Source organism: Homo sapiens, chromosome 18, assembly GCF_000001405.40.
Source record: "Homo sapiens chromosome 18, GRCh38.p14 Primary Assembly".
Lineage (NCBI taxonomy): Eukaryota > Metazoa > Chordata > Mammalia > Primates > Hominidae > Homo > Homo sapiens.
In genome coordinates, this window is record NC_000018.10 from 34,030,945 (window position 1) to 34,057,961 (window position 27,017).

General features: G+C 34.5%; 1 protein-coding gene across 33 annotated transcripts in view, besides 1 other annotated feature; it reads right to left on the reverse strand.

The window, feature by feature from the left end:
• NOL4 (nucleolar protein 4) overlaps positions 1 to 27,017 on the reverse strand; it is a 373,814-nt gene that overhangs the window by 179,845 nt on the left and 166,952 nt on the right. For 2 of the 33 annotated variants that reach the window (NM_001353236.2, NM_001198549.2), the window contains exon 1: positions 17,495 to 17,668. The exons of the other annotated variants lie outside the window; for them this stretch is intronic. The gene's annotated coding sequence lies outside the window, so the exon portion shown is untranslated. Of the gene's footprint in view, positions 1 to 17,494; positions 17,669 to 27,017 lie in introns of those variants that run through there. 33 annotated transcript variants of the gene reach the window in all.
• Positions 3,233 to 3,302: a silencer, noted in NCBI's record as "silent region_9392". NCBI's record gives its function as "represses an Ori minimal core promoter by ATAC-STARR-seq in GM12878 lymphoblastoid cells {active_cell/tissue: GM12878}" and the evidence as "EXISTENCE:reporter gene assay evidence [ECO:0000049][PMID:35858748]".

Here is a 27,017-nt window from a genome sequence, read left to right on the forward strand (position 1 = left end):
ATTAAGGTTGACAATAGGGAGAACAAGTCATGGTGGGGAGAGGGAGGGAGAGGAGAGATGAATGGGTAAAGAGGTGGCAGGATAGGGAATCACAAGGGGGCTGAATGGATGAGAAAATAAAAGGGAAGGGATGGAGAGAGGAGAAGAGTAGTTCAGGAAGGGCACTTATCTCAGTTTGAATAACAAAATCACTGGAGAATTGTTATTTGATTAATATCCGGGTGTCTCCCAGGACTCAAGCTCTGAGAGAACAGGCTATGTCCGTCTTTGTTCTCTGTTGTATCTAGCGCAGTGCTAGTCCCCTACTGCAGTGCTTCTCAAACTCTCAGCGATGAAGACTCCAGTCCTGTGTTTCTAATTTATCATGGACAACCAATTTGTAAAGCAAAACAAAACAAAAGCAACAACTTTAAACATGAAATGTAAAGAAAAGACATGTAAAATCCAAGCCCATTTATTATTAGATTCAACAGATATATCATTGCTTGTTTCCAAGTCCTGTACATATCTTGTCACTGATATGTACCAGCAGTTGTCACCAGCAATAATCCACTAACTTCTTATTGATTTGATAGACCCTCATTAAAAATTTGTAGAGGAGCTTCAAGATGGTTGCCTAGAGGCATTTCATATATGCCTCCTTCACTAAGAAGAAACAAAATAGTGAGTAGATATTTTATACTTTCAAAAGATGATTATCCAAGAGAAAACACTAAAATTCAATATGAAAGTGACAGGAACTACCTAAAGTAGAAGGAAGAGAGGCATCTGCTCACCTGAAATCAACTGGGTGTCAGATGCCAAGAGAGACTCCTCAATACAAGGAAAGAGTAAGTGAGAAACCCTCAACAGTCCACATTTCCAACATGGAGTGTGGCAATCCAAGCCACAGGAAAGCCTCTTCACCCTTCATAGGTCCTGAAACCAACAAAGGGAGCTGCTGGGAGACCTTGCAATGGCACTGCCCCAGAGAGAGGGCTCACAGTGGGTCCCAAAAAACACCTGGAGATCTAAGCAGCTACAACAAGCTGCCATTTTCGAGTGCCAGTGGCAACACACTGCACTCTTCCGGGGACTAGTGGTGCTGCAGCTGAGGTGCTAGACAAGCCCTGGCTCTTGCCTCTGGGGCTTAGATGTGAGCAACCACCAAATATTACTGCGTCTAAGGTGAAAGCACAAAGAAAGTGCAAGCAAGAAGCCAGCTACCACAGCAGGTCTTAGGTATGAATTCTACTAAAGCTTGGGTGCAAGTGGTGTGCACATTCCCCAGCCACCAGGCTAGGCTGCTGCCACGGAAGGTAGCACCACCCTATCCAGTAGCAGGGCTGCAGCATAACCACTGCTGCCCACAACCTGAGCATTCTGATGGTGGCCTGGGGATCACCCCACCCCTGCCTACCATGCTGACACCCACACACACCATCAGGAGGCCTGAAGATGAGCTCACCTGGCCCAGTGTTGCCCAACTTCTCCCATCCCAGAGCACAGACTCTGGAGGCAAAAAGATTGCTTAGCCCAGTCCACCACCACTGCACATGAACACTCCTCCTGGGGCCTGAGGTTGGGACTACCCACCCAGCTACCACCACAGCTGGCATCTATCTGCACATAGCACCTGTGAGCATTGAGACTGGCCCACTCGGCTCATCACAGTCCCACTGCCAATATAAGCACTCACCACGTGGGATCCAGATAGTTGTCCTGTTACCTTCACCCATGCCATTCTAGCTGTCCAGGGACCTGAGAACCCACCCACCTGGCCCACTGCTGCCTACCAGAATTGGAGTAAGCCACCTGGAGGCTCAAGAATAGGTTTACCTGAACCAACAAACACCAGGGTACACCACTCTGGGACCCAAGGACAGGCATCCCAGCCCATTGCTGCCATCACTGGGGCCTAAAGACTGGCCTTCCTGACATCCTAGCCCACAGAAAAACTTCATCACAGCCTCCAATAACAATTGCACCCTAAGCCACTGGGAAAATCACAGATACTACTGATGATGTTTACAGTCAAAGAAGTTTTACAAAGACTACACTACCGCACACATCTAAAATCAAAGCCAAAGTGCCCTGCTCAACCAACACCATAGGTACATATTCAGGAAAAAGTCCTCCCTGATGAAAGCAAATTCAGAAATTTGGAAAAAATAACTATATACCAGATGCAGAGATATCAATGTAAAGGCACAGGAAACATGAAAAAGCAAAAACGTATGACACCTTTAAAGGGCCATAATTTTCCAGCAATAGATCCCAATCAAAAAGAAATTCATGAAATCCCAGAATAAGAAACTAAATTATTGATTCTTAAGAAACTCAGTGAGTTACAATAGAAATCTGAAAAACAATTTAAAGAAATCAGAAAAAACAATTCAGGACATGAATGAAAATTTAACAGATAGATATTATTTTAAAATACCAGAGTTTTAGAACTGAATAATTATTTGAATAAAGTTAAAAATACATTTGAAAGCTTCAGCAATAAACTAGATCAAGCAGAAGAAAAAAATCTCAGAACTTGAAGACAGGTCTTTCAAAATAACCTTGTCAGAAAAAAATAAAGAGAATAAAAAGAATGAGCAAAGTTTTTGTGACATATGATAAACCCATAAAGCAATCAAATATTAAAATTATGGGAGTCCCATAAAGCAAAGAGAAAATTGAAGCATTCTATAACTTATTAAATAGATAATAAATGAAAACTCCCCAATTTAGGAAGAAATTTAGACATTCAGATATAGGAGGTTCTGAGATCCCCAAACAGATAAAATGCAACAAGATCTTCATGGCACATTATAGTCAAACCAGCTTAAGTCAAAGATAAATAGGGAATTCTAAAAAGAGCAAGAGAAAAGCATGTAGTCACCTATAAAGGAACACTCCATTAGACTAATAGAATTCTCAGCAGAAATCTTATGGGCCAGTAGAGAATAGGATGACATATTCAAAGTGCTAAAAAGAAAAAAAAAATCACGAAGGATACTATACCCAGCAAAATTAACCCTCATAAATGAAGGAGAAATAAAATTTTTCCCAGACAATTGAAAGCAAAGGAAATTCATTAGCACTAGACTCTCCCTACGAGAAATGCTCAAGGCAGTCTTCAACCCAAAAGCGAAAGGACAGCATTTACCATCATGAAAACACGTTGTAACTAATACTCACTGGTAAAGCAAACAGACAAATGAGGAAGAGAAAGGACTCAATGATAACACTACAGAAAACCACCAAACCAAAATGACAGACAATAAGGAAAAAATAAAGGAACAAAGAATATACTAAACCAGAAAATAACAGCATGACAGGAACAAAATCTCACACATCAGTAACAAGCTTGAATGTAAATGAATTAGATTCTCCTCCTAAAAGATATCGACTTGCTGAGTGAATTTTTAAAATAATCCAACTACAAACTGCTCACAAAAAATAAACTTTACCTCTAAAGACTCATTATAGAATGAAAGTGCAGAGATGGAGAAAGATATTCCACACAAGAAAACCAAAAGGGAAGCCAGACACGGTGGCTCATGCCTGTCATCCCAGCACTTTGGGAGGCCAAGTCGGGTGGATCACTTGAGGCCAGGAGTTCGAGACCAGCCTGGCCAACACAGCAAAACCCTGTCTCCACTAAAAATACAAAAATCAGCTGGGCATAGTGGTGCACACCGATAGTCCCAGCTACTCAGGAGGCTGGGGCATGAGAATCACTTGAACTTCGGGAGGTGGAGGTCACAGTGAGTGGAGATTGCGCCACTGTACTCCAGCCTGTGCCACAGAGTAAGACCCTGCCCCACCCCACCCCCCAAAAAAGCAACAATAAACAATCCCAAAGTGAGCAGGAATAGCTATATTTACATCAGATAAAATGTACTTCAAGTCAAAAACACTAAAATGGAAAAAAAAAGGACAAAGAAGGTCATTATGTAATGATAAAACAATAAAACAGCTAGAGGATATAAACATTCTAAATATATAGGCACCCAACACTGGAGCACCCAGATTCATAAAGCAAATATTACTAGATCTAAAGATGTCTAAAGATGGCAATAGACTCTAAAACAAGAATAGTGGGAGACTTCAACACCCTACTCTAAGCATTACACCGATCATCTAGACAGAAGATCTACAAGGAAACATTAAACTACACATTAGACCAAATAAACCTAACAGACATTTAAAAAAACATTACATTTTATTTAACAACTGCAGAATACACTGTGTTCTCATCAACACATAGAATATTCTCCAGGACCTACTATATGTTAGGCCACAAAGCAAGTCTAAAAATATTTGAAAGATTAAAAATTATATCAAGTATTTCTCAGACCATAATGGAATAAAACTAAAAATCAACGCCAAGTTAAACTTTGGAAACTTATAAATAGTTGGAAATTAAACAATATACTCCTGAACAACCACTGGGTTATGAAGAAATTAAGCTGGAAATTTAAAAATTTTTTGAAACAAATGAAAATAGGAATATAATATATCAAAACTCATGGTACATAGCAAAAACAGTACTAAGAGGGAATATTATAGCAATAAATGCCTACATTTAAAAAGTAGAAAGATTTCAAATAATCTTTCAAATAATGTAGATTTCAAATAATCTAATGATGATCCTCAAGGAACTGGAAAAGCAAGAATAAACTAAGCCCAAAAACAGCAAAAGGAAAAAAAAATAATGATTAAAGCAGAACTAAATGAAATAGAGACTAACAATACAAAAAACAATAAAACCAAAAGGTAGTTCTTAAAAAATAAACAAAACTAATAATTATTAGACTAACCAAGAAGAGAAGATAGAAGACTCAAATTAAAAAAAATCAGAAATGAAAATGGAGACATTTCAACTGATAAAACAGAGATACAAAAGATCATCAGAGACTATTATGAACAACTATATGCTAACAAACCAGAAACCTTATAGGAAATGGATAATTTTCTGGAAACATATATCCTACTAAAATTGAATCAGAAACAAATAGAAAACCTGAACAGACCAGTAATGAGTAGTGAGATTGAATCAGTAATGAAAATCTTCCAACAAAGCAAAGACCAGGACCAGATAAATTCACTAATGAATTCCACCAAAGATATAAAGAAGAAATAATAATAATCCTCAAGCTATTTCAAAAAAATCAAAGAGAAGGAAATTTTCCCTAACTCATTCTATAAGGCCAATATTACCCTGATACCAAAACCAGACAAGGATTTGACAAATAGTGAAACTACAGGCCAATATTCATGATGAACAGAGATACAAAAATCCCCAGCAAAATACTAATCAACAGAAAGCAACAGCATATCAAAAAGATAATAAACCATGATCAGATGAGATTTATACCAGGGATGCAAGGGTGGTTTCATGTACCCAAATCAGTAAAAAGGAAATGCATCATATCAATAAAATGAAGGGAAAAAACAACAGATGCCGAAAAAGCATTTGATAAAACTCAACATCACTTCATGTAAAAGCTTCAACCAATTAGGCATAGAAGGACCATACCTCAACACAATAAAAGCTGTATACAACAAACCCTCAGTTAACATCATACTGAATGGGAAAGGTTGAAAGCTTTTTCCTTAAGATATGAAACAAGACAAGGATGCTCACTTTCATCATTCCTATTCAACATATTTCTGGAAGTTCTAGCCAAGGCAATGAGGCAATAGCAATAAATAAATGGCATCAGCCCAGCACAGTGTCTCATGCCTGTAATCCCAGCACTTTGGGAGGCTGAGGTGGGTGAATCACTTGAGGTCAGGAGTTCAAGACTAGCCTGGCTAATATGGTGAATCCCCGTCTCTACTAAAAATAGAAAAATTAGATGGGTGTGGTGGCAAACACCTGTAATCCCAGCTACTCAGGATTACAGGAGGCTGAGGCAGGAGAATCGCTTGAACCCGAGAGGTGGAGATTGCAGTTAGCCAAGATTGTGCCACTGCACTCCTGCCTGGGCAATAGAGTGAGACTCCATCTTAAAAAAATAAATAAATAAATAGCATCACAGTTGCAAAAACAAAGAAGGTAAAATTGTCCCTCTTTGCAGATGACATAATCCTATATCTAGCAAAACCAAAGATTCCACCAAAAAACTCTTATATCTGATAACCAAATTTAGTAGAATTGCAGAATACAAAATGAACATAGAAAAAATCAGTACCATTTCTGTACACCATAGTGAAATAGCTGAAAGTGAAATCAAGAAGGCAATTCCACTTACAATAGCTACAAAAAATCCCAAGAAATAAACTTAACCAAGGAAGTGAAAGGTCTCTACAAGGAAAACTGCAAAACACTGATTAAAATAACACAGGAGGACACAAACAAATAGAAAGATATCCCATGCTCATGAAAAGGAAGAATTAATGTTGTTAAATGACCATACTACCCAAAGCAATATACAAATTCAACACAATCCCTATCAAAATAACAATGTCATTTTTCACAGAAATAAAAAAATCTTAAAGTTCATATAGAACCAAAAATGAGAAGAATAGCCAAAGTAATCCTGAGTAAAAAGAACAAAGCTGGAGGTATCATACTACCTGACTTCAAATTATATTACAAGGCAATAGTAACCAATACAGCATGGTATTGTTATTAAAATAAACACATAGACTAATGGAACAGAATAGGGAACCCCAAAATAAATCTTTATATTTACACCCAGCTAATTTGACAAAGATACAAAGAATATATACTAGGGAAAGGACACCCTCTTCGATACACATACAGGGAAATTTAAATACTCATATGCCAAAAAATGAAACTGGATCCATATTTCTCACCGTATATAAAAATCAACTCAAGATGGATTAAAGACTTACACTTACCCAAAATTATAAAACCACTGTAAGGAAAACATTTCAAGACTGGTCTAGGCAAAGGTTTCACAGCTAAGACTTCAATAGCATAGAAACTAAAACAAAAAGACAAATAAGATTATACTAAACTAAAAAGCTCTACACAGTAAAGGAAACAAACTACAAAGTGAAGAAACAATCAGTTGAATAGGAGAGAATATGTGCAAACTGTTCATCCAGTGGGGACTAATACCCAAAATACTCAAAGAACTCAAACAACTCAACAATAAAAAAACAAATAATGTCTTAAAAATTCGGCAAAGGACATAAACAGACAATTCCCACAAGAAGACATACAAATGGTTAATAGGTATATGAAAAAATGCTCAACATCAGTAATCATCAGGGAAATGCAAATCAAAACCACAATGAGAGATCATCTTATCCCAGTCAGAATGGCTATTATAAAAAATAAAATGTAAGAAATGTTGGCAAGGATGTGGAGAAAAGCAAACACTTACATATTGTTGGTGGGAATGTAAATTAGTACAAGCACTATGAAAAACAGCATAGAGATTTCTCAAAAAACTAAAAATAGAACTACCATATGATCCAGCAATCCTACTACTGGATATCCATCCAAAGGAAATCAGTATATCAAGAGGATACCTACACTAGCATGTTTATTGTAGCACTATTCAAAATAGCAAAAATATGGAATCAGCTTAAGTGTCCATCAGTAAACAAATGGGCAAAGAAAATGTGGTACATATACATAGTAGAATATGATTTGGCCATAACAAAGATTGAAATCATGTCATTTGCAGCAACATGGGTGGAACTGGAGGTCATTATGTTAAGTCAAAGAACCCAGGTATAATAAGATAAATACCGCATGTTCTCACTCATATGTAGGAGCTAAAAAACTTAGTATCATGGTGACAGAGAACAGAATGATAGATACCAGAGGTGGGTAAGTGTGTTAGAATGAGTAGGGGAAATGAAAAGAGGTGGATGAGTGGGTATAAACTTACAGTTTAGATAGAAAAACAAGTTCTAATGTTTGATAACAGCCTAAAGTGACTATGATCAGCAACAGTATACTGTATATTTCAAAATAGCTAGAAGAGAGAACTTGAAATGTTACCCTTTTCAAGGTGATGAAATGATAAATACTCAAGGTGATGGGTGCCCCCAAATAAGCAGGTTTGATCATTATACATTCTATGCATGTAAAAAATACAAATATCACATAAGTATGTGAAGTATTATGTATCAATAAAAGAAACAAAATGTAAAATATATAAACAATATAGACATCAGAACATTAAAATCTCAGCTATATATTATAGTTATATCATATCTTATTCTGGAATTTGAACAATTTTGGATATTCTTTTCCCTCGTCTTATTGTCACACAATAACAAAGTAGAGAATATGTCACCTAATTTTAAGTGGTTACATTGGGGAAAAAAGACAGGTTTATTACTAAGGGTTCCATATTGAGTAGCATAATAGCATAATAGAATGAGACACAATTCTTTTGACAACCAGATCACTACTTTTGCTCATAGGTCTGGGTGGCTTTTTTTTTCCCCTGCAAATTCCACAGGCAGCATTAATTAGCAAGCTGAAAGCACTTTCATTTTCACTTTTGGCTAGCAGACTTCAATGAATCTCTAATTTACACATTTCAGCTCTGCAGACATTTGCAGACCAATATTTTAAGAGCAAGTCTTTATTTGGCTTAGCCTCCATTTCTGTATAAAGTTAAGATGTGCATTTACTTGTCATTTCAGCAAAACCCTTGCCACAATTAATGAATGGTTCCAAAAAAATAAGTGTGTGGTCAATCCCATTCCACTTTTCTTTAGCCTGTAAATTGTTAGTTCTTTTGTAGTAACAGCTAGTTTAAACACAATGAAAACATCAGCAAAACATTGGCAAAATGTTCTTTCCAACAACTGATTCAAAATCATGATATAAAGGAAAAACATATACAGACGGTTCCTGACTTACAATGGTTCAACTTAGCAATTTTTTGACTTTATGATGGTGTGAAAGCAAGACACATTCAGTTGAAAGAGCATTTTGAGCACCCATACAACCATTCTGTTTTTCACTTTCAGCTCAGCATTCAATAAATTGCATGAGATACTCAACATTTTATTATAAACAGGCTTTGTGTTAGATAACTCCATCTAACTGTAGGCTAATGTAAGTATTCTGAGCATCTTTAAAGTAGGCTAGGCTAAGATATGGTGTTAAGTACCTTGGGCATATCAAACCCATTTTGATTTAGAATATTTTCAATTTACAATAGGTCTGTTGGGATGCAATCACATTGTAAGTTGAGAAGCATCTGTATTCAAAATTTTGGTGACTATATTTTTAATAAAAACGATCGATTGATCTATTTATCTCTCGTTTGGAAAGGTACATACCGAACTGTTAATGGAGATTATTGTTGGGGGCACAGTAGATTGGGAGTGAAGAATAGGGGACCCTTCCTTTCTCTTTATACATTTTGGTACTTTTTGGAATTTTTTCATGACTATATACTTCACATGAATATGTAATATTTTATTAATCTTACATTGCTGATAGAAGCTATTTTGAGGATTAAGCTATTTTGAGGTGATTGAAGCTATTTTCAAAATAGAAACTATTTTGAAGTGATTGAAGCTATTTTCCTGAGGAAAAATGCTTCAATCATGAATATGTATTTTTAAAACAAATCTATATTTTATTAATATACTTTATTAATCAATTGAACTTTGAAATAAAACAACATGCGAGGTGGAGGTTCTTAGCCCATTAGTACATGGGTGCACAAACCATTGTGGAAATGTGAGTCTGAGATACGAACAGAGATAGTGTGTTAAGCCATAGTCTGTGTACTTTCCACTGCCTTATGCTGCAGGGATAAGAAAAATGAGTCAATTGTATCATTTAATGGAATCTCCTTGTGTTTCTAACTTAGGTATCACGGAGGATAAACAACGAAAAGAACCATGTGTGATATGCTCTGGTGACATTGATACAGCCCAGAATTCAGGGCAATCCCATGAGAAAATTGTTCATATAAATTTGGTCAGAAATATATTTTATATTCACGTCCTTTAATTGTAAAATTAGTAAAAGAAGTGTTTATTCTTCAAAATATTAGAAATGGGTGCAGAGAACATTTAAGTTGGCAAGGAACACTCCAGATAATTTTGTCTGATAATCAAAAATATTCTAGGATGAAAAAACGTAATGAAAAAATTTGCCAGATTATAAATTGAGTTTTCTATTGCAGGTCCAATAACACATATTTTGCTTTCAATTACTATTTCCTCTGAACCCAAATATTTAAAATAAGAGAGTTACTAATAATGTTAGTCCCAGCATTGTTACTTTTCTTGAGATGATAAAAACTATGATATAAATTTGAAGACAGGATGAGCCACTAAGAAAATCAAGTCTTGAGGTCAACAAGAAGCAAGGCTAAAGTAAAAGGTTAAAATTCTCAGCTTAAGAGAAGAACTTGGGAACAATGCCTTGAGCAATTGTAACAAAAACTGAGTGAAAAAAATCACATTCTTGGGCCTTTACCCCCAATCCCTACTGTGAAGAATGGCAAACAGAGGAAAGAACTAAAGGCAAAGAAAATCCTTAATATCCTCCTCTATGTGGCAGGTGTTAAGGGAAGCACATGTCTCTTTCCTGATATGGGAAATAGTTATCCATGGGGACCTTATTAGCTAAAATGAAAAAAAAAAGCCACTTCGTTATCACCCTTAAATTTCTTACATGCTTAAAGCAATTTCTAGGAAGTGAATTCACATTTGCTGCATTCTTTAACAAAGCCCTGGCTTCTGGGATTTTCTAAATTTCTAAACTTCTTTCAAAGCATTAGAAAAGCATTATAGATTTTCTTTTTTTTCTTCCTTTTTAAATTTTAACCTTTTAGTAGTTGGGGTGACCGATATTAAACAAAGTTGGAAGTTACAGACAGTATCAATCAAAGTTAATTTCTTATTCTACCTTTAAAATACACCTTGGGTTTGTTCTACAAGTCATATTTAGCCATATTGTAATGTTGATTATTGTTCTTAATATTTATTATACAGGGCTACAGTTTATAATTGCTATAGATAGATTTTACTAAAAGGTATGGGATATAATTTATTCTATCACAAAATAATAATCTTTAAACAGTTTTCTGTTGCATGAAGTTATGCATGTGATTTACAAAAATATAGGTTCAGGCAGCAATATAAAATTATACATAGGCATGAAGTCAGGAGCAAAAAATGAAGACTTTTTTCTATAAATACAAAGTTCTGAATATACTTTAGTAAATTCTGATGTTTGGGCTCAGATATTGACCTCATTGACTCTTTTAAGAGCTGACTATACACTTTGCCTTTTCCTTACTCTAATTTTCATACACTTCTCTGCAACCCATTCAATCAAATATTTGAATAAGGCTACATACACAAAGAGGCAAGCTCCCTAGCCAGTAATGATGGCTCATTTTCCCAGATGAAAAACTCTGAAGACATCCCTCCCACCAAACCCCTTTCTATCTGCAAGTAAAGAATAAAACTGTGCCAGAAAACATGATGGTATTTTCTAAAGTTGAGAGGAATATGTCCATGATTCCTATCCCAATTACAAATCCCAGTGGATTCACATGAATGATCAAATGTTGACAAGTTGTCTGTTGATCTTTAATCATATTCCAAAAGTTTAAGTAAAGTGTAGGAGAGGTAGCATGTATATTAATAGACTAAATGCTTCTGAAACACCAATCAAAGAAGGAAGAAAGGCAAGAAAAAGAAATGTGACCAGTAATTGAAACTGAAATTGGTAGATAAGTGATAATGAGTGGATGCTTTCAGTTATTAAGCATCCGGTGCAGCAAGTTCCTTTATATTAGTTATTTCCTTTAATTCCCCAAACAATTCCATGAACTAGTTATCTCCATATTACAAATAAGAGAAATCTCATGTGCTAAAGCCTTCCCAGACGATCACTACCAACTTGTCCTCACATTCTCCTTTCTGTCAGTACTACATCTTGCACTAATCTTCATCATGACATTTTTCACACTTGGGAAATAGGTCGAATCACATTGAGGTTAAGACCATGAGCTTGGCAGTCAGAAAAACATATAATCAGAACTTAGTCCTGTCATTCACAACCTGTGTGGTTTGGACGTAATCTCTCTGAGCCTTAGTTTCCTTATAAGGAGAACAGGGGTAGCTGTAGGATTTACATTACAGTACATGTGTTACAAATAAATGAGTTCATGTTTGCAGAGTAGCTAGCCCAGTACCTGGTCCACATCAAGGAAGGTAGTATTTGAAGGGAGAGAAAGCCTCTGATTTTCTTCATGTACTTACAGTGTGCATGATTTTCTTCATGTACATACAGTGTGCTTTGGCAAAAGCAGATCCATAGTGGGGGTTTATTAAATGCTCATTGAATGAATGACAAATAAATGAATTAATGTATGTATGCAAATATGTATGTATGCATGTATAGATGGATGAATGGATAATCTTTTGCATCCTAAGACAGTAGTTTTCCTATTAAAGCTCCAATCATCTTTACAATTTTCCTCTTCCTAGAGTAGGATGAATTTTTGTGAGATAACCGACTATGACCAATAATCTGCTTATTTTTACAGAGATCAAAGTTATACATAGGTACCCAAGAAAAAACAATAAAAATAATTTTTTCTTCACCTATTCTTGTAGGATACAAGAATGACTCTCTACAATGCATCATAAGAAATGACAATGTGAGGTGCAGAATGAGCTGGAATCAGCCTCTCTTTATTAGTTATATCGCTTTAAAAATATTCCTTGATCTTTCTTAGCATCAGTTTCCTCACTCATAAATCTGGGACATAATAGTAATTATATGTGTCTTACAGTGTTGTGATAGTCCAATGAGATAATGTAAATTAAAGGGTGCACAGTGTAAGGGTTAAGGGATAAGTTTTCTTTGAATCAGGGAGGCAGTTGCCTCTTCATCATAATACCCTCTTCAGTGTGTTTTCCTCTTTAGGGTGCCATCTCGAAAACATATAGGCCTGAATAAAAGGCCCAACCTTTTGACTTTCTAATTCAAGATTAGGGACTTCTGACCATTAAAACTGTAAATGTATACCTCCAGAATTAGCTTAGGGGTCTCTCTCATGGGATAAATAAAAAGAGTTCCATCCATATCTATCAAGAAGATAGAGAAATTGTAACTGCTCATTCTTCTCACTTTACTGTGTATGTGTATGAAATTCTGTTCAGACTTCATAGTCACGTTTATGTCACTTAACTCTATAAAAAATTGTGTTATTTCTCTTTCTTTTAAATAGGTACAGAGGGATCTTTTGTTAGAATTGTTTTATTTCTCCATCAATTAAAAACTATAAAGTACCAAACAACTGTTAATTGTTGATGCTGTTATTGTAATTATTATAATTATGATCATTTCAGGACCACAATGATATAAAATTATAGCAATTATCCATATGAAAAGAAAATAAAATACTTTTATCTTTAACTAATTGGATAATTACTACAAAATGCTTTTCCCAAAACTCAGCTGAATATTTACTTTTTTCCTTTGCCTCAAATTTATTTTTATCATATATTAATGCCAAGATCAAAAGTATAAAACTTCCCAAATTAAAAGTTATTAAATTTTAGAACTGTCAGACTCCAGTAATAAAAGACAATTTTTTGTTATACTAAGAAGCTGTATACTTTAAATGAAAAATACATGACAAGTTTTCATATACTCTAAATGCTATATACCAATATTAAAGAGGAAACAACATATAGAGTAGTCCAATGAATGCTAAAGATGCTTTGAAATTTTATGCAATAATATAACTTAAAACAGACATTTGTCAATGATCTACATTATGAGTAAGTTAGTTATTATAATTAAATGCAATATATGCTTTTAAAGACTTAAAGATCAAACTTAAGATGTCTAAAATCAAATTCGTTCCTGCCTCCCATTACCGCCACTACTCTCTTCAAAAACTCCCTCTTTCTATTGACTTTCCTATGTCTATAATGGCACCCATGCACTTTCAGTCTTGAAGGTTCTTTCTTTAATGCTGCCCAGTCATGGGCCAAGACTATAGTCTGTGCTTACTTTATCACACTGCCCACTACAAAATAATACAATTTTCCATTGGTCATGCTCACCAGACTGAGTGTTTTTATGAAATCTTGAACATTAGTATTTTTCTCTGTCCTTCTTATCATCTATCTTTTCATCTGTTATTTGGATGAAGCCAAATTAATCATCTTTTATTTTATATTAATTTTTTTTGAGACAGAGGCTCACTCTGTTGACCAGGCTGGTCTTGAACTCCTGGCCTCAAGTGATCCTTCTGCAACAGGTTCCCAAAGTGCTGGGCTAACAGGCATGAGCCACTGCCTGCCGTGAGCCTGGGCTGTCAAATAAATCTTGGTTGAATAAATTAATAAATGAAATTCCATAGATTATAGGCCTATGATTTCTTTCCCATTTATTTTCTATTCTTAATTTCTAGTGTTTCTATACTAGTTTAGGCTCTTAGTCCTAATTGCCTTCCCCAGTTATTACCCCTACCATTTATTCATCTTACTCAACATTTGAAGAATAAATATATCTTAACAGAGCACTGCTTCTACTTCTCATTCCTGGTTCACAAATGCCCATTGACCCCTATCTGCCCTCAAAAGTATATGTCATCGAAAGAACATATTCCAGTCTGACATTCTTTTCTTTCTACAGTCTAATTTCAACAACTGCTCTGGCTATCCCCACACACCATGTTATCAATTTGCTTACATGCAACTTTAAGAAAACAAATAAATTTAGCATCTGACATAATTTTCCTGAGACATATGAAGTCAAACTTATAGCATATAGATAAAAAATTTTCATGGCAGCATAAATCCCAAAATTTAAGAAAGAAAATAGAAATTGTTGCTATTTAACAGTCCTCTAAAGTGGCCCTTCTAGCTTAACAATGTATCATAGTATTGAATCAAATATGCTCAAATCAAACATTAATCTGATTTTTAAAAGCAAATACAAAACGTGTTCATATTATAGTATTATCTCTTGTGCTGAATAACATTTTTATTTTCAATATATTTTAAAATACACACATCAACCATCAATCACAATGGGCAGTTTTAGAAACTCTCCTTAGTTTATGTAACAGACCATTATACCATTATGCAAATATATATTAATGTTTCATGTGTTTGTTTGTTGAGTGTTCCCTAGCAGAGGTTTCTGTTGTAAATTTCCTGTCTATTCCTTCCTCTTGCCCTTTTCTGTACTCTGGTTTCCCATGCAAAAATTCAGACCATTTCCATATCACCTAATAATCCCAGAGCTTTCAGAAGACCTTGGCGACCTGAAGATTTTTACTCTTAAAATGACTCCTGGACTTTCCAAATGCCATTCCAAACTCTGAGACCAGTTCAGAATAGATCAACTTCTTTCCTAGATTCCTGAAGCATTGCCTTTCGAGAGAGAATCTGACGATGGAGGATGACCTGGTCCTCACCAAGCAATACCTTAGAAGAGCAGACGGGGCCAAACCAAAACTTGCCTAAGATAGATTACAAATCCCTGCCAGTCTTCAGTTGACAGCCAGCATTTGTGTCTAGGTCAGCCACCACTATATTTTCAAAAGACATAAGCACAGAAGACAGGGAATGGAGAATTCTAAGAAATATAAAATTTTATTTTAACTGGTTAGGAATACCTATTGAAAAACTTTGGTTAAGGTAGTAAATTGGCTAAGTCCCTGACCATTTTTAAAATTTACTATTTACTTATACATATATATATATATATATATATATATATATGTATATGTACTTTACTCTGCTATCTCAATAAATGGTGCCTATTTTTTTCTTAGCTATTCTTTTTCTTTCCTAGTCCTATTTTGTTAATTCTGCTCACTGCCTTCTGCAGTGACCCTCTAAGTTTCACTCTTTCTGAAATAAAGTCATTGGTTTGTCTCCTTGCTATCCAAAATCTATGAAGGGAGATAAGCTACTTTAATTTGTTCTCTGGGGAGGACAAAAGGAACACAATTACCTCTTTCCTTTTGTAATTTTTAAGGGTCCTATCCCGAACTACTAATAGAAATCACCAAAAAGGTTGTTGGAATAATTTATGATCATTCATTGAGAGGGACTCCCTGACTTCCTGCTTTGTCTCCATTTTCTTAAGAGTACCAGGTTCTGCATAGTTACAACCCAAATGCTATTAAGCAAAGTATAACCCTTCTAGTTTTGTGTGTACTTCCTAACATATGAAGATAATAATTTTATCCAACATTTTAATATACCTGTTCAACTCTAGGACCAATGGTCTCTTCTAGCATTAAGTTTCAGGGAAAAGAAGTGCATGTGTGATCTGTGCTCTGTTTTTGCAGCAACACCCAAGTCTGTCTATTCTGAGAAATTAAAACAGCACACTTCAATTGGCAATTAAATGTTTTTATGATAATAGCTATATTTAGCGTAGACTGTAATGTTATTTGTAGTGTGTAGTACATTACTAGCAGGATTTTACACAGGGGAAACAATCCCAGTTTCTAAATATATGTTATAAATATATAAACATGATGGAAACAATTAAAAAACATCATGTATCACGGATGTAGCCTGATACAATTTTCATCATGAATATTTTAAATACTAAATAAATACATTCAGGGGAATACCCATTGATAGTCATAAACACAAGGGTTATATATTAATATAATATGTAAAATCTACATAGTTTTGAAAAATTCTTTTCAATTTTGTATGTGGATTAAAGTGTCTTTTGAGGTAATTAAGTTTTTGAAAGACTAGATATCTTCACAATAGACACTAATATCAAATATTTAAAATTCATACAAGGTTTCTAGCTTCTAAGCTAAAAATCATATGCTTCATAAGAATTGGGGAAGGAACTGTGTAAGCACAAACCAAAGAGGAAAAGAAAATGAACAAACCCACATAGACGTAGACATCCCCCCAGAACAAAATCCATCTGAGGCGATCAACAAAAAATCCTGAAAGGTATACACATTGCACATGCCTTATGCTGAAAAGTTGAAGTACCAGCACCAAACAGAATAGCTATATTAATTGCTCTTCACTCAAAAATGCCTTTTCATCATATTATAATGACCTAAAAAACCACACCACTTGCATACTTCTAAATGGATTTTTAAAATATGTATGCATAATTAGAAAAGGACATTTACAAACCTAAAATGAAATTTCATCACTTTTGGTGTTGAAGAAACACAACTTGCTTACACATGCAGATTTGTCCATGAATATTTTTTCTCTCTCTTGATGGAATTTTAGGTTTAAATGCACAACAATCTAGGGTAAATAAATTAAATGCCAAAAGCATATAATATATTCTTTTTGCTTATCTAATTTTACCATGCTCCTGAGATTTTAGATGGATATTTAAAAAGTACCTAAAATTTTTCCTCAAGTTTCTAATCTGGTCAGACCTTTAAATAACAACTGAACTAGGAAAACATTGGCATTTATCAGAGTCTACTCCTGTCATTCTACTGCTTCATGGGACAGTCTTCAACAAGACTTAGACAAACCTCATTCATCAATATTCTACTCTGGAGGAGCTGACACTTACTGTGAATTCTGCTCTTCAACTTAAATACCAATGTCTGTGGCAGGCCAATTCTATCATTGCAGATCCAGCATCCCTCAGGCGAGGTCCAACCTTTCTCTCGAAGTGCACCCAGGGATTAGTCTGACTTCCCCTAAATTCTCTCCTCTGCACAGTAAGAGCTAATCTTTCCTGTATGAAGCAGGAGATGGTGTTGCTATGACAACGGAGCACATTCTAGCAGTGGGACTACTGAGATGAGCCTTCAAAGACTCAGGGAAACATGCACTCAGTCTTCCTCCAGGGCTATGGGCTCCTTCCTTGAGGATTTAATCTCCCAACAAGTTTACTGTCAGACTGGGTTGTTGATTATCTGTACATTTTGCTACAGGGAGATCACTGGTTAAGAACATGGCTGGAAGATCACAGAGTTATTTAATAAAAGTGCCATTTTCAGTTTTAATAATTTTCCAGTTTAAATACTCTGTGTAGCTTGTTAAAACACTACCCCCTTTAAATTAAAAGCATTTTGCTTACTTTTAGATTTTTTAAAATGATTACAATGAGTTGAGAATGGCACTATCAAGGAGAAGCTTTACCTTTTTTTTGTTTGTATATCATCACCATTGTATCAACTTGAAGGTTAGATACAGGCGCGCGCACACACACACACACACACACACACACACACACACACACACACACATCCATTTTCTCTCTCCAGCATCAACGTCTGGAGCCTTGAGGTTTCAGGGTGGGGGAGGGGTATGCTAACAAAAGCAAATCCTGCAGCCACATTTTGCATACATATATTATCCAGAGAATAATCACAATAACTGCTAATCATTTAGAAAAATAATTATAACCGGAATTTAAGTGCCTGTGCCACAGCAGAAGAGATCTAGTATCAAGCCACATTGTAGGAGGGCAGATTTCATACGTTATTTTCAAACATGGCAGTTAAATTTTCTGGAAAATAATGAACACGTATATTAATATATATTTTAAACAGTTGATAGTATACTGTAATAGTTCTGACTATTTTGAACATTGAACATTCATTTTTCTTCAGAAACATTACTGCGATTCAAATGAGTACATCCTTTTCAATTGGAAGGAAAGATACAGGGCAGGAAAAGTTTTCCCCTCCCAGCAGCAGAGGTTCAGTTTACTCAATCACTCTGATTCAGGTTCTCACCCAGGGAGTCATCTGACCTGTCCTCTTTACTCCTTAATTTCCCCGTAATCTTTTCTATTTCTCAACCTTTTATGTTAGGAGCATCTATTCCTGCATACCACCCTTCCCCCACTGTCTGTAATTATTCTCCTTTGTGGCTGAAGCAATGGAATCTATATCATCTACATCTATTCTTTCAAGTGCTGAGAGCGAACAGGACTTTATGGATGTCGCTGTCACTCAGAGGTGTGAGAATCTATATGTTAGTCAGATTCAATGCCACATTGGCCTTCTAGAAAATCATAGGGCTATCTTTAGTTACTTCTTGCTTGTCACCCTAATGCGTTTGAAAAGCTTTATGATGTTAACTAGAATCTCATTATTGCACATAATGCATGTATTTACATTTAGTAGTTCATTTAAAAGAGACAGCATATTTTAAAACTCATTTTGATTTGTATTTGTTATTTCCATCATAGTAAAAAATGCTGTTAAATTTTTGCTAATGTGTGCCTTGGAATATATCTCCAGGATACATATGTACCCACTTCACAATATATGCAGATAATTTTCCCTTCATGATCCTCTTTTCAGAGCTTGCTCTGAAGATGCATTCTCATAATTCAAAAAGTTATAGCACCTGTTTTCATTATGTTCATTATTATCTAATTAGTAAAGGGCTTTCATTTTTTGGAAAAAAAAAATTCACTCTCATATTCAGGGAAACTGGATAAATGCCAACACATGTAAACAACATATGGTTTACTTTCAAAATCAATCAACCAGAATTATTTCTAAATCATTTCTTAGTTAAAAATGTGTTGAAATAATTTACTGCTATAATAGATAATGTTACTATCTGCTGTTCCTTTAGGACTGACTACCTGGACATCGATCATATTATATATTGTCTAGCTTCCCCAAGAAGACAATATTGTTTGTAGAAAAAATTATTTAAGTAGTTATGGTGAGTGTGCCACAACTTAGATTTGGATGTTAAAAGTGAGTTATAAACAACTAAGGTTATATGAATGCCAGAAATCACTACTGCAAGAAATTCTATAGTTTTTAAATTTTTCCTCATGTATTATTTTTATGAGCCCTAATTTTTCAACATAATATTCAGCAGATCTGGTAAATTAAAACAATATGTTTGTCTTATGGGAAATAGGGAAAATGAGAGTAGGAAAAACAGCACTTTTCACAAAACAAGTTTTAAATATAAACCCCAAGGCAGTTCTGAGTAAAAAGACTGAAATATTGGAGCCTACATAGTAAGGGGAACAAATGCGGAGTTGAGAACAATTTTTTTCTAAAAAGCCGCCTTTCATGGAAAGGCTTGGATACAGCCTCTAGACTTTGGCTAGACACTGAACACAGACTCTAATGACAAACTGCATTACTAATCTCTCTCTGCTTCAGTTTTCTCACCATCAGAATGGACATAATAAGAGTATCTTTATGAGAATTCAAGGAGTAAATATGTATAAATTTCTCATAATAATGCCTGACATATTGAAAATACTATGTAAATGTTAGGTGTCATTTAGGACCTTGAAGACAGGGACTAAATATTATTCAGCTTTGTCTCCCCTGTTCTTAATACAAAGTCTGCTATCAGGTATATACTTAATAAATGAAAATAAATATTTTTAATAAAATCTATATGACTGTAATATTTAATAAAGCAAAGTGAATAGACAATACTTTAGAATTCTAAATGTGTCAGAAGAAAAATGTAAATCTGTCTACATAATTATTATTGGTTTATAAAATTCAATAAATAAATATGTATTCAAGTAATCAATGAACTAAATTTTAAATATTTCTTGTTCTTTTATACTTTTTATAGTTTAAGAATTATTTGCTAAACAATAAGTAAACAACATAAGTAGGATTATCTTTGACTGTGAATAACAATAACATCTCCTTTAGTTTTATAAGAGAATGAGTTATCACTTATTAGAAAATTGATTTAGCATCTGCTTTATTAGATATTGTAGTAGGTGCTGGGATACAAAGGCTTAGACCACTGTGCCTGTCTTCAGTGAGTTCACAATTTAATGCAGGAAGCATACAGTCACTCAGCATAGTCTATGTGCCAGACACTGCTCTAGGTGCTGGGGGTATGATAGTGAACCAAACAGAAAGAAATGTCTACTATAAGGAAGTTTCTCCCTGCTAGTGTGTGAGAGAGTGTGTGTGTGTGTTTTCCGGCAGGGGAAATGAATGTATTTTAAGTATTAGTGCTTCAGAGGAAAATAAATTCAAATTTTGGAATAAGAAAGGCAGTAGAAATAGGGATAAAATTTTAATTTTAAAAAGATACATTTAATGCAAATTGATAAGGGCCATAAAAGAGCCACAAAGAAAGCACCATGCAACTAGGAAAAAGAGTGGCCAACTCTCTCCTAAGGAATATGGGAAGGCTTCACAGAGGGAGTAGTAAAAATCTAATGAGGATTAAATATGTAAAAAGGTTCTTATCTGCATATTAACTAGCATTTACTCACATCATCTATATAATTTAATATCTAATAAAACAAAGTGAATAAATACTATCTAAGGATACTAAAGTATCAGGACAGAAATAGAAATTTGTCTAATAACTAATCCATTATAGGTTTACAATGCTCAAAAATATTCCTTTAGTTAAAAAGCATGTTATTCTAGCAAGTGGAGTAATACATGGTTGATCTATAAAAGTAAAAGTAAATTGCCCTTACTTTGACACCATTGTCTTTTTTTTTCTAAGATAAAAAACAACTAAAGAAGGATAATTATAACTCACTTTATTTGTACAGCAAAATAAATTCCAGATGGCTTAAACATTTAACTCTTTTTTAAAAAGCTGTACAAGTACTGAAAGAAGTTAAGGAAAATGTGTTAAACACAAACATAGAGGAAAACAAACTTTGGAGTATCTGTCAGGTAAATAATTGGCTGTTTGGTCCAGAAATCTACAAATCTATTCCCACACTTTTAAATTATTTATTAAACAATCATTTATTCAGCAGCAATCATGTGCAATGTATTAGGAATAGACAGAAAAATAAGATAGTATTTAATTTCTAGAAGCTCATGGTCTAGTATTATAGTACAGATGGACAAAAACATAGGACTTTATGATTCAAAGTGCTAATTATTTTTATAAAATTATACACAGAATGCTACGAGAGAATCTAGGAGAGAACTTTTTCCTGGTACAGGGAGGTAGGCTTATGAAATCATATAACAAGCATGTAGATACAGTCATAATGGAATAGATTGGAGCAGTCCAATGTTCCCAATGAGAATAACCAGAAAAGCTAATTTTGAAATATAGATGATTAAAATATATTTAAAGGCATCAGACAGCTAAGAGAGAACTAGGACTTGAGAGCCCAAGATCCCTGAGGGAAGGACATCAGAGAAATGTGAACCAACATTCTGTAAGCAGCTTTTTCCCTCAGGGAAAACACCAATTTTGGTGTGAAAAGAGAGACGAAGAATATGAACATACATTGCTAATAGGTAGAGAACTTTTGGAACTCTTAAAATACTGAAGAAAAAATGGATTTCAGATTGAAGATGGTAGCAATGATGTAAGTAGTCAAGATTACAGAGAGAAGGTAGTAGCAGAGAAGTAAGACCACCATTCTATGGATTTGCCTTTAAGGCTTTGCATACTCTTAAATTGCCAAGAGCAAAAGACAAATGAGACAAACAGAAAACTGTTGAAAAAAAAATACAGTAGTGTTTGCTGTACTCTCAGTTCTAAACTAAAAAGCCAAGGACCATTAGGGAGGAAGAGCTTTTATGAGGAGTCCTGGATCTCAGCTGGGACAACCAGTAGGTTAGACCCTATGAGTGGAAGGAAACATATGGAGAAAAAAGCTTATTATAAGAACTAAAACCCAGCATCAAGCCAGTTCAATACTTAATTTAATTCAAATGATCTGTGCCCCCTTATCTGCTGGAAGATGGAAAATTGTCTCTGAGCCAGATAACATTCCTAAGACCCTCTCTATTATCACTCTACTATTTTTCATACATAATGTCCAGACTTAAGAAACATACTTAAGAAAATAATGTTAGGAACATATAGGAAACAGATAAATGGTAATATCAGTTCTATGCTGATAAATGTTTAATAACCAGTTTCCAAAAAAGGGGGAGCAATATTATAATTATACTGATATAAAAGATTTTTAACACAGTTTTTGAATTATAAAATATTCAATACTCTATTATAAATTTAATATATCCAATTGATTCTTTCAGAATACTCACATTGATTTTTACCAAACTATTATATTTGTAGGCAGTGACAATCAAGATGACTGCAACTGACAATCAAGTATACTTCAACATGGATATGGTTTCATTTTTTTATTTACTCATGTTTATGAGTAAGATGAAAGTGAATGTTAAAGATGAATACTGGAAATTCACATACTTGTAAGTGATGCAAGCAAATTCTCACATAATTATTTTTAAATGCTAGATAGTTGGTATAATTTCAATCATTTTAAATATGTTAAGACTTGTTTTGTACCCTAACATGAGGTCTATTCTGAAGAATGTTCCATGTGCACTTGAGAAGAATGACTGGAGTGTTCTTTATATGTATGTTAGGTCCAATTAGCTTATAGAATTGCTCTAGTCCTCTATTTCCTTATTCATCTTTTGTTTGGTTGTTGTTCTATCCATTATTAAAAGTGGGGTATTGAAGTCTCCTACTATTATTGTGCTGCTGTATGTTCCTTCCTTCAATTCTGCCAATGTTTGCTTCATCTATTGGGAACTCTGATATTGGGTGCACGAATATTTATAAAATATTATATATTTTCTTGGCAAATTGGCCCTTTTATAATTATGTGATATTATTATTTGTCTCTTCTAACCATTTTTATTTTAAAGTCTCCTTTTTTAATGTTAGTATAGCACCTCTGCTCTTTTTTAGTTATCACTTGCATAGAATATGTTTTTAATCTTTGTGACTCTCAGCCTATGTGTATCCTTAACATCTAATGTTAGTCTAGTAGACAGCATATAGTTTGATCTTGATTTTTTAAATCCATTCAGCAAATTATATCTTTTGATCAGGGAGTTTAATCCATTTACATTTAAAGTCATTACTGATTTAGGGAAGGAGATACTATTGCCATTTTGTTAATTGTTTTCTGTGTGTCTTGTAGCTCTATTACTTCTCCTTTCCTCTCTTACTGCTTTTCTTTGTCTTTTGTTGACTTTTGGTAATGGCATGCTTTGACTTTCTTTTCATTTCCTTTCATATACATTGTTACTGTTGCAATTAGACAAAACATTAAAGTTGTAACATAACATTCTATATAATGTTATATATTAATATATTCTATATTGCATATTTCCATATTATATATATTTTATATATAACATATTAAACAAATTATAACATTTTATTTTAAACTACTAACAACTTACTCTACTCCTTATTGTCCCTACTTTTATGTTATTGATGTCCCAAAGTACATCTTTATGTATTTTATATCCATTAACATATATTTATATTTGTTTTTATGTTTTTGTCATTTAAATTTTATATAAGAATTAAAAGTAAATTTGTGCACCAAAATTATAATAATACTAGTTCCTATATGTGGCCATGTATTTTTCTTTACTGAAGTTTGTATTTTCATCTAGCATTCTTTGAAGGACTCACTTATAGCATTTCTTGTACAGTAGATCTAGTAGAATGAACTTCCTCAGATTTGTCTGATAAAATCTTAAATTCCTCTCCATTTTTGAATTATTTTGTTGGCTGTAGTATTCTTGGTTGACAGCATTTTTTTCTCTAAACACTTTGAATAATATTATCACACTTCCTTTGGCCTATAAGGTTTTTGCTGAGAAATTATCTGATAATCTTATAGAGGCTATAATGTACATGATGAGTCTTTTTTCCCTTGCTGCTTTCACAACTCTCTTTGACTTTCAACAGTTTGATTGTAATGGGTCCTGGTGGAGTCTCTATGGATTCGTCCTGGTTGCAGTTGGTTGAGTTTCTTGAACATGTATATCCGTTTCTTTCCTCAAATTTGGGAAGTTTTTTGTCATTATTTCTTCAAATAAACTCTGCCCCTTTATCTCTCTCTCTGTCTCTCTTTACTCCTTGAATTTCCATAATTTGTATATTGGTCTGATTGATGGTACCCCATAAGTCCCTTAAGTTTTGTTTACTTTTCTTCATTCCTTTTTTTTTCTCCGCTATCTCAATGATTTCAAATGTCCTGTCTTAAAGTTCACTGATTTTTTCATCTGCCTGATCAAGTTTGCTATTAAGTCTCTCTAAATAATTTTTCAATTCAGCAATTCAGTTATTATATTTTTCAGCTCCAGAATTTCTATATGATTCTTTCCTATAGTTTCTACCTTTTCACTGATACTCTCAATTTGTTCATACATTGTTTTCTGGATTTTGTTTAGTCATCTCTCTATGTTCTTTTTTGAGCTTACTGACCATATTTAAAATAGTTGTTTTTAATTATTTGTCAGAAAGTTCAGTGATTTGCCTTTCTTTAGGTTCTATATCCAAGGTTTTGTTTTGTACATTTCATCAAGCCACATTTCTTTGTTTCTCTGCATGCCTTGTGATATTTCTTGATATTTGAGATTTGGGCATTTGAGAACACATTCACCTGCCCAAGCCATTATGCACTGGATTTGTGCAGAGAACGGCCTTCATCAATGAGCCTAGCTATATGTTTGGGAGACTCTCAAAACGTTTCTGAGGATGTTTCTCCTCTGGGCTCGTGTATGTCTTTACTTCTCTCAAATTCCCTAAGCAGCCTGCCCATTTTTTTCTCAGGAGCTCATAATCTCCTGCTCCTTCTAGCATCTGCCTGTAGAACTACAGAATCTCTGCAGCTCTGAGGACCCACCATGCCAAACCGCTTGCCTCTTTTTTCAGTGGTTTCCAAACTCTGCTACTGTTCCCATCAGTGCTATGATATAGAAACCAATACTTCAGGAAGCCCCTAGACAAACCAGAATATCTGACTCACAATCCACTCTCTTGTTGCTATTGTAAAAGAAGAGCCCTTGTATGGAATGTTTCCTCCAGTGTGCACTATGCTACACTGACTCAAGAAAAGGACATGGGCATGCAAAATTCTCTGAACTTTACTAGGATCTTTTTTTTGGTTTTGCATTGGTCTGGGTGCCGCTACTTCTTAACTGGTCAACAGAGTTCTTAAAAAGGGATTCTGGTCCATATATTGTTAACTCAGTGTCTTCAAGGGGGGAATTAGGGCCTCGGGCCTCTTGGTTTGCCATCTTGCCAACATCACTTTCTGTTAGTTTAGTTTTAACTGAAATGCTGAGAAATACTTAAAGATGATAGTTGGTTACTGAAAAGTAACATTGAACAAGGCTTTAGTAGAATGCAATACAACCCTTGACTTAGGAAGATTTGTTTCTTCTCTAGCTTCAGGCATAGGAGGAAGTCCTGGAGTGCTTAATGAACCCTGACATGTCCCTCTTAAAGGCTTAGAAACAGGGCAATTCTAATATTAATCATCACCTTAAAGCAGGAATTTCAGTTAAGCATCACCTTAAGGCAGGGATTTTACACTGTTTGGAGTTCTTGAGAATCTAAAGAAATCTACCCCTCCCCACCACCATGTACTTATATTTACATATATCCTCTCTTCCTCCAAAATTCACACATGTGCATATGTACACTCACGAGCACACATAATTTGGCACATGATTTATTCACCTGGTGCTCAGATAAAGAATACTGCTATATTGAAAAACTATGCGGTTTCTGTTTACATTGGGCTCCTAAGGTTAAGCCCAGGTAAAACTAAAATGTTCTTTGCCTTGTATACGTGCCATTGTCCTGACCTGGTCAACATCTCAATCAAATCTGTTTTCTAGAATGAGAGTAGAACTGAATTTCAGGAGTGTGGGTAAATGGCCTATCAGTGGCATCTGCTGTTGCCCTGAAAGATCTGTGATCTATCTTTATTAATAATAATAGTAATAAGTAACAGTATCTATTGACAATATTACTTGCTAGGCAATTTGTTAAATACAAATTAGAATATGATTACATGCACTGGATGGTCAAGGAATATTTCCTGAAGGAAGTTGCACTTGAAAGATTTTGAGGGTAAGAATCATGCCTTATACATCTCAGCTCTAGTTGCACATTGCTATGGAAATAGCAAGTTAATATAAAATACTGCTCATAAAAATTAATATTAATTATTACACAGTGTAAGTTACTAACACATTTGCCTACTTTATCTTTAAGCTTCTATGATTATTCTGCACTTCATGGATTTAAAAAATGCAGAGCATGATTTCAGGAATTGTAAATGACTTTTTTGCTTATTGATTTCA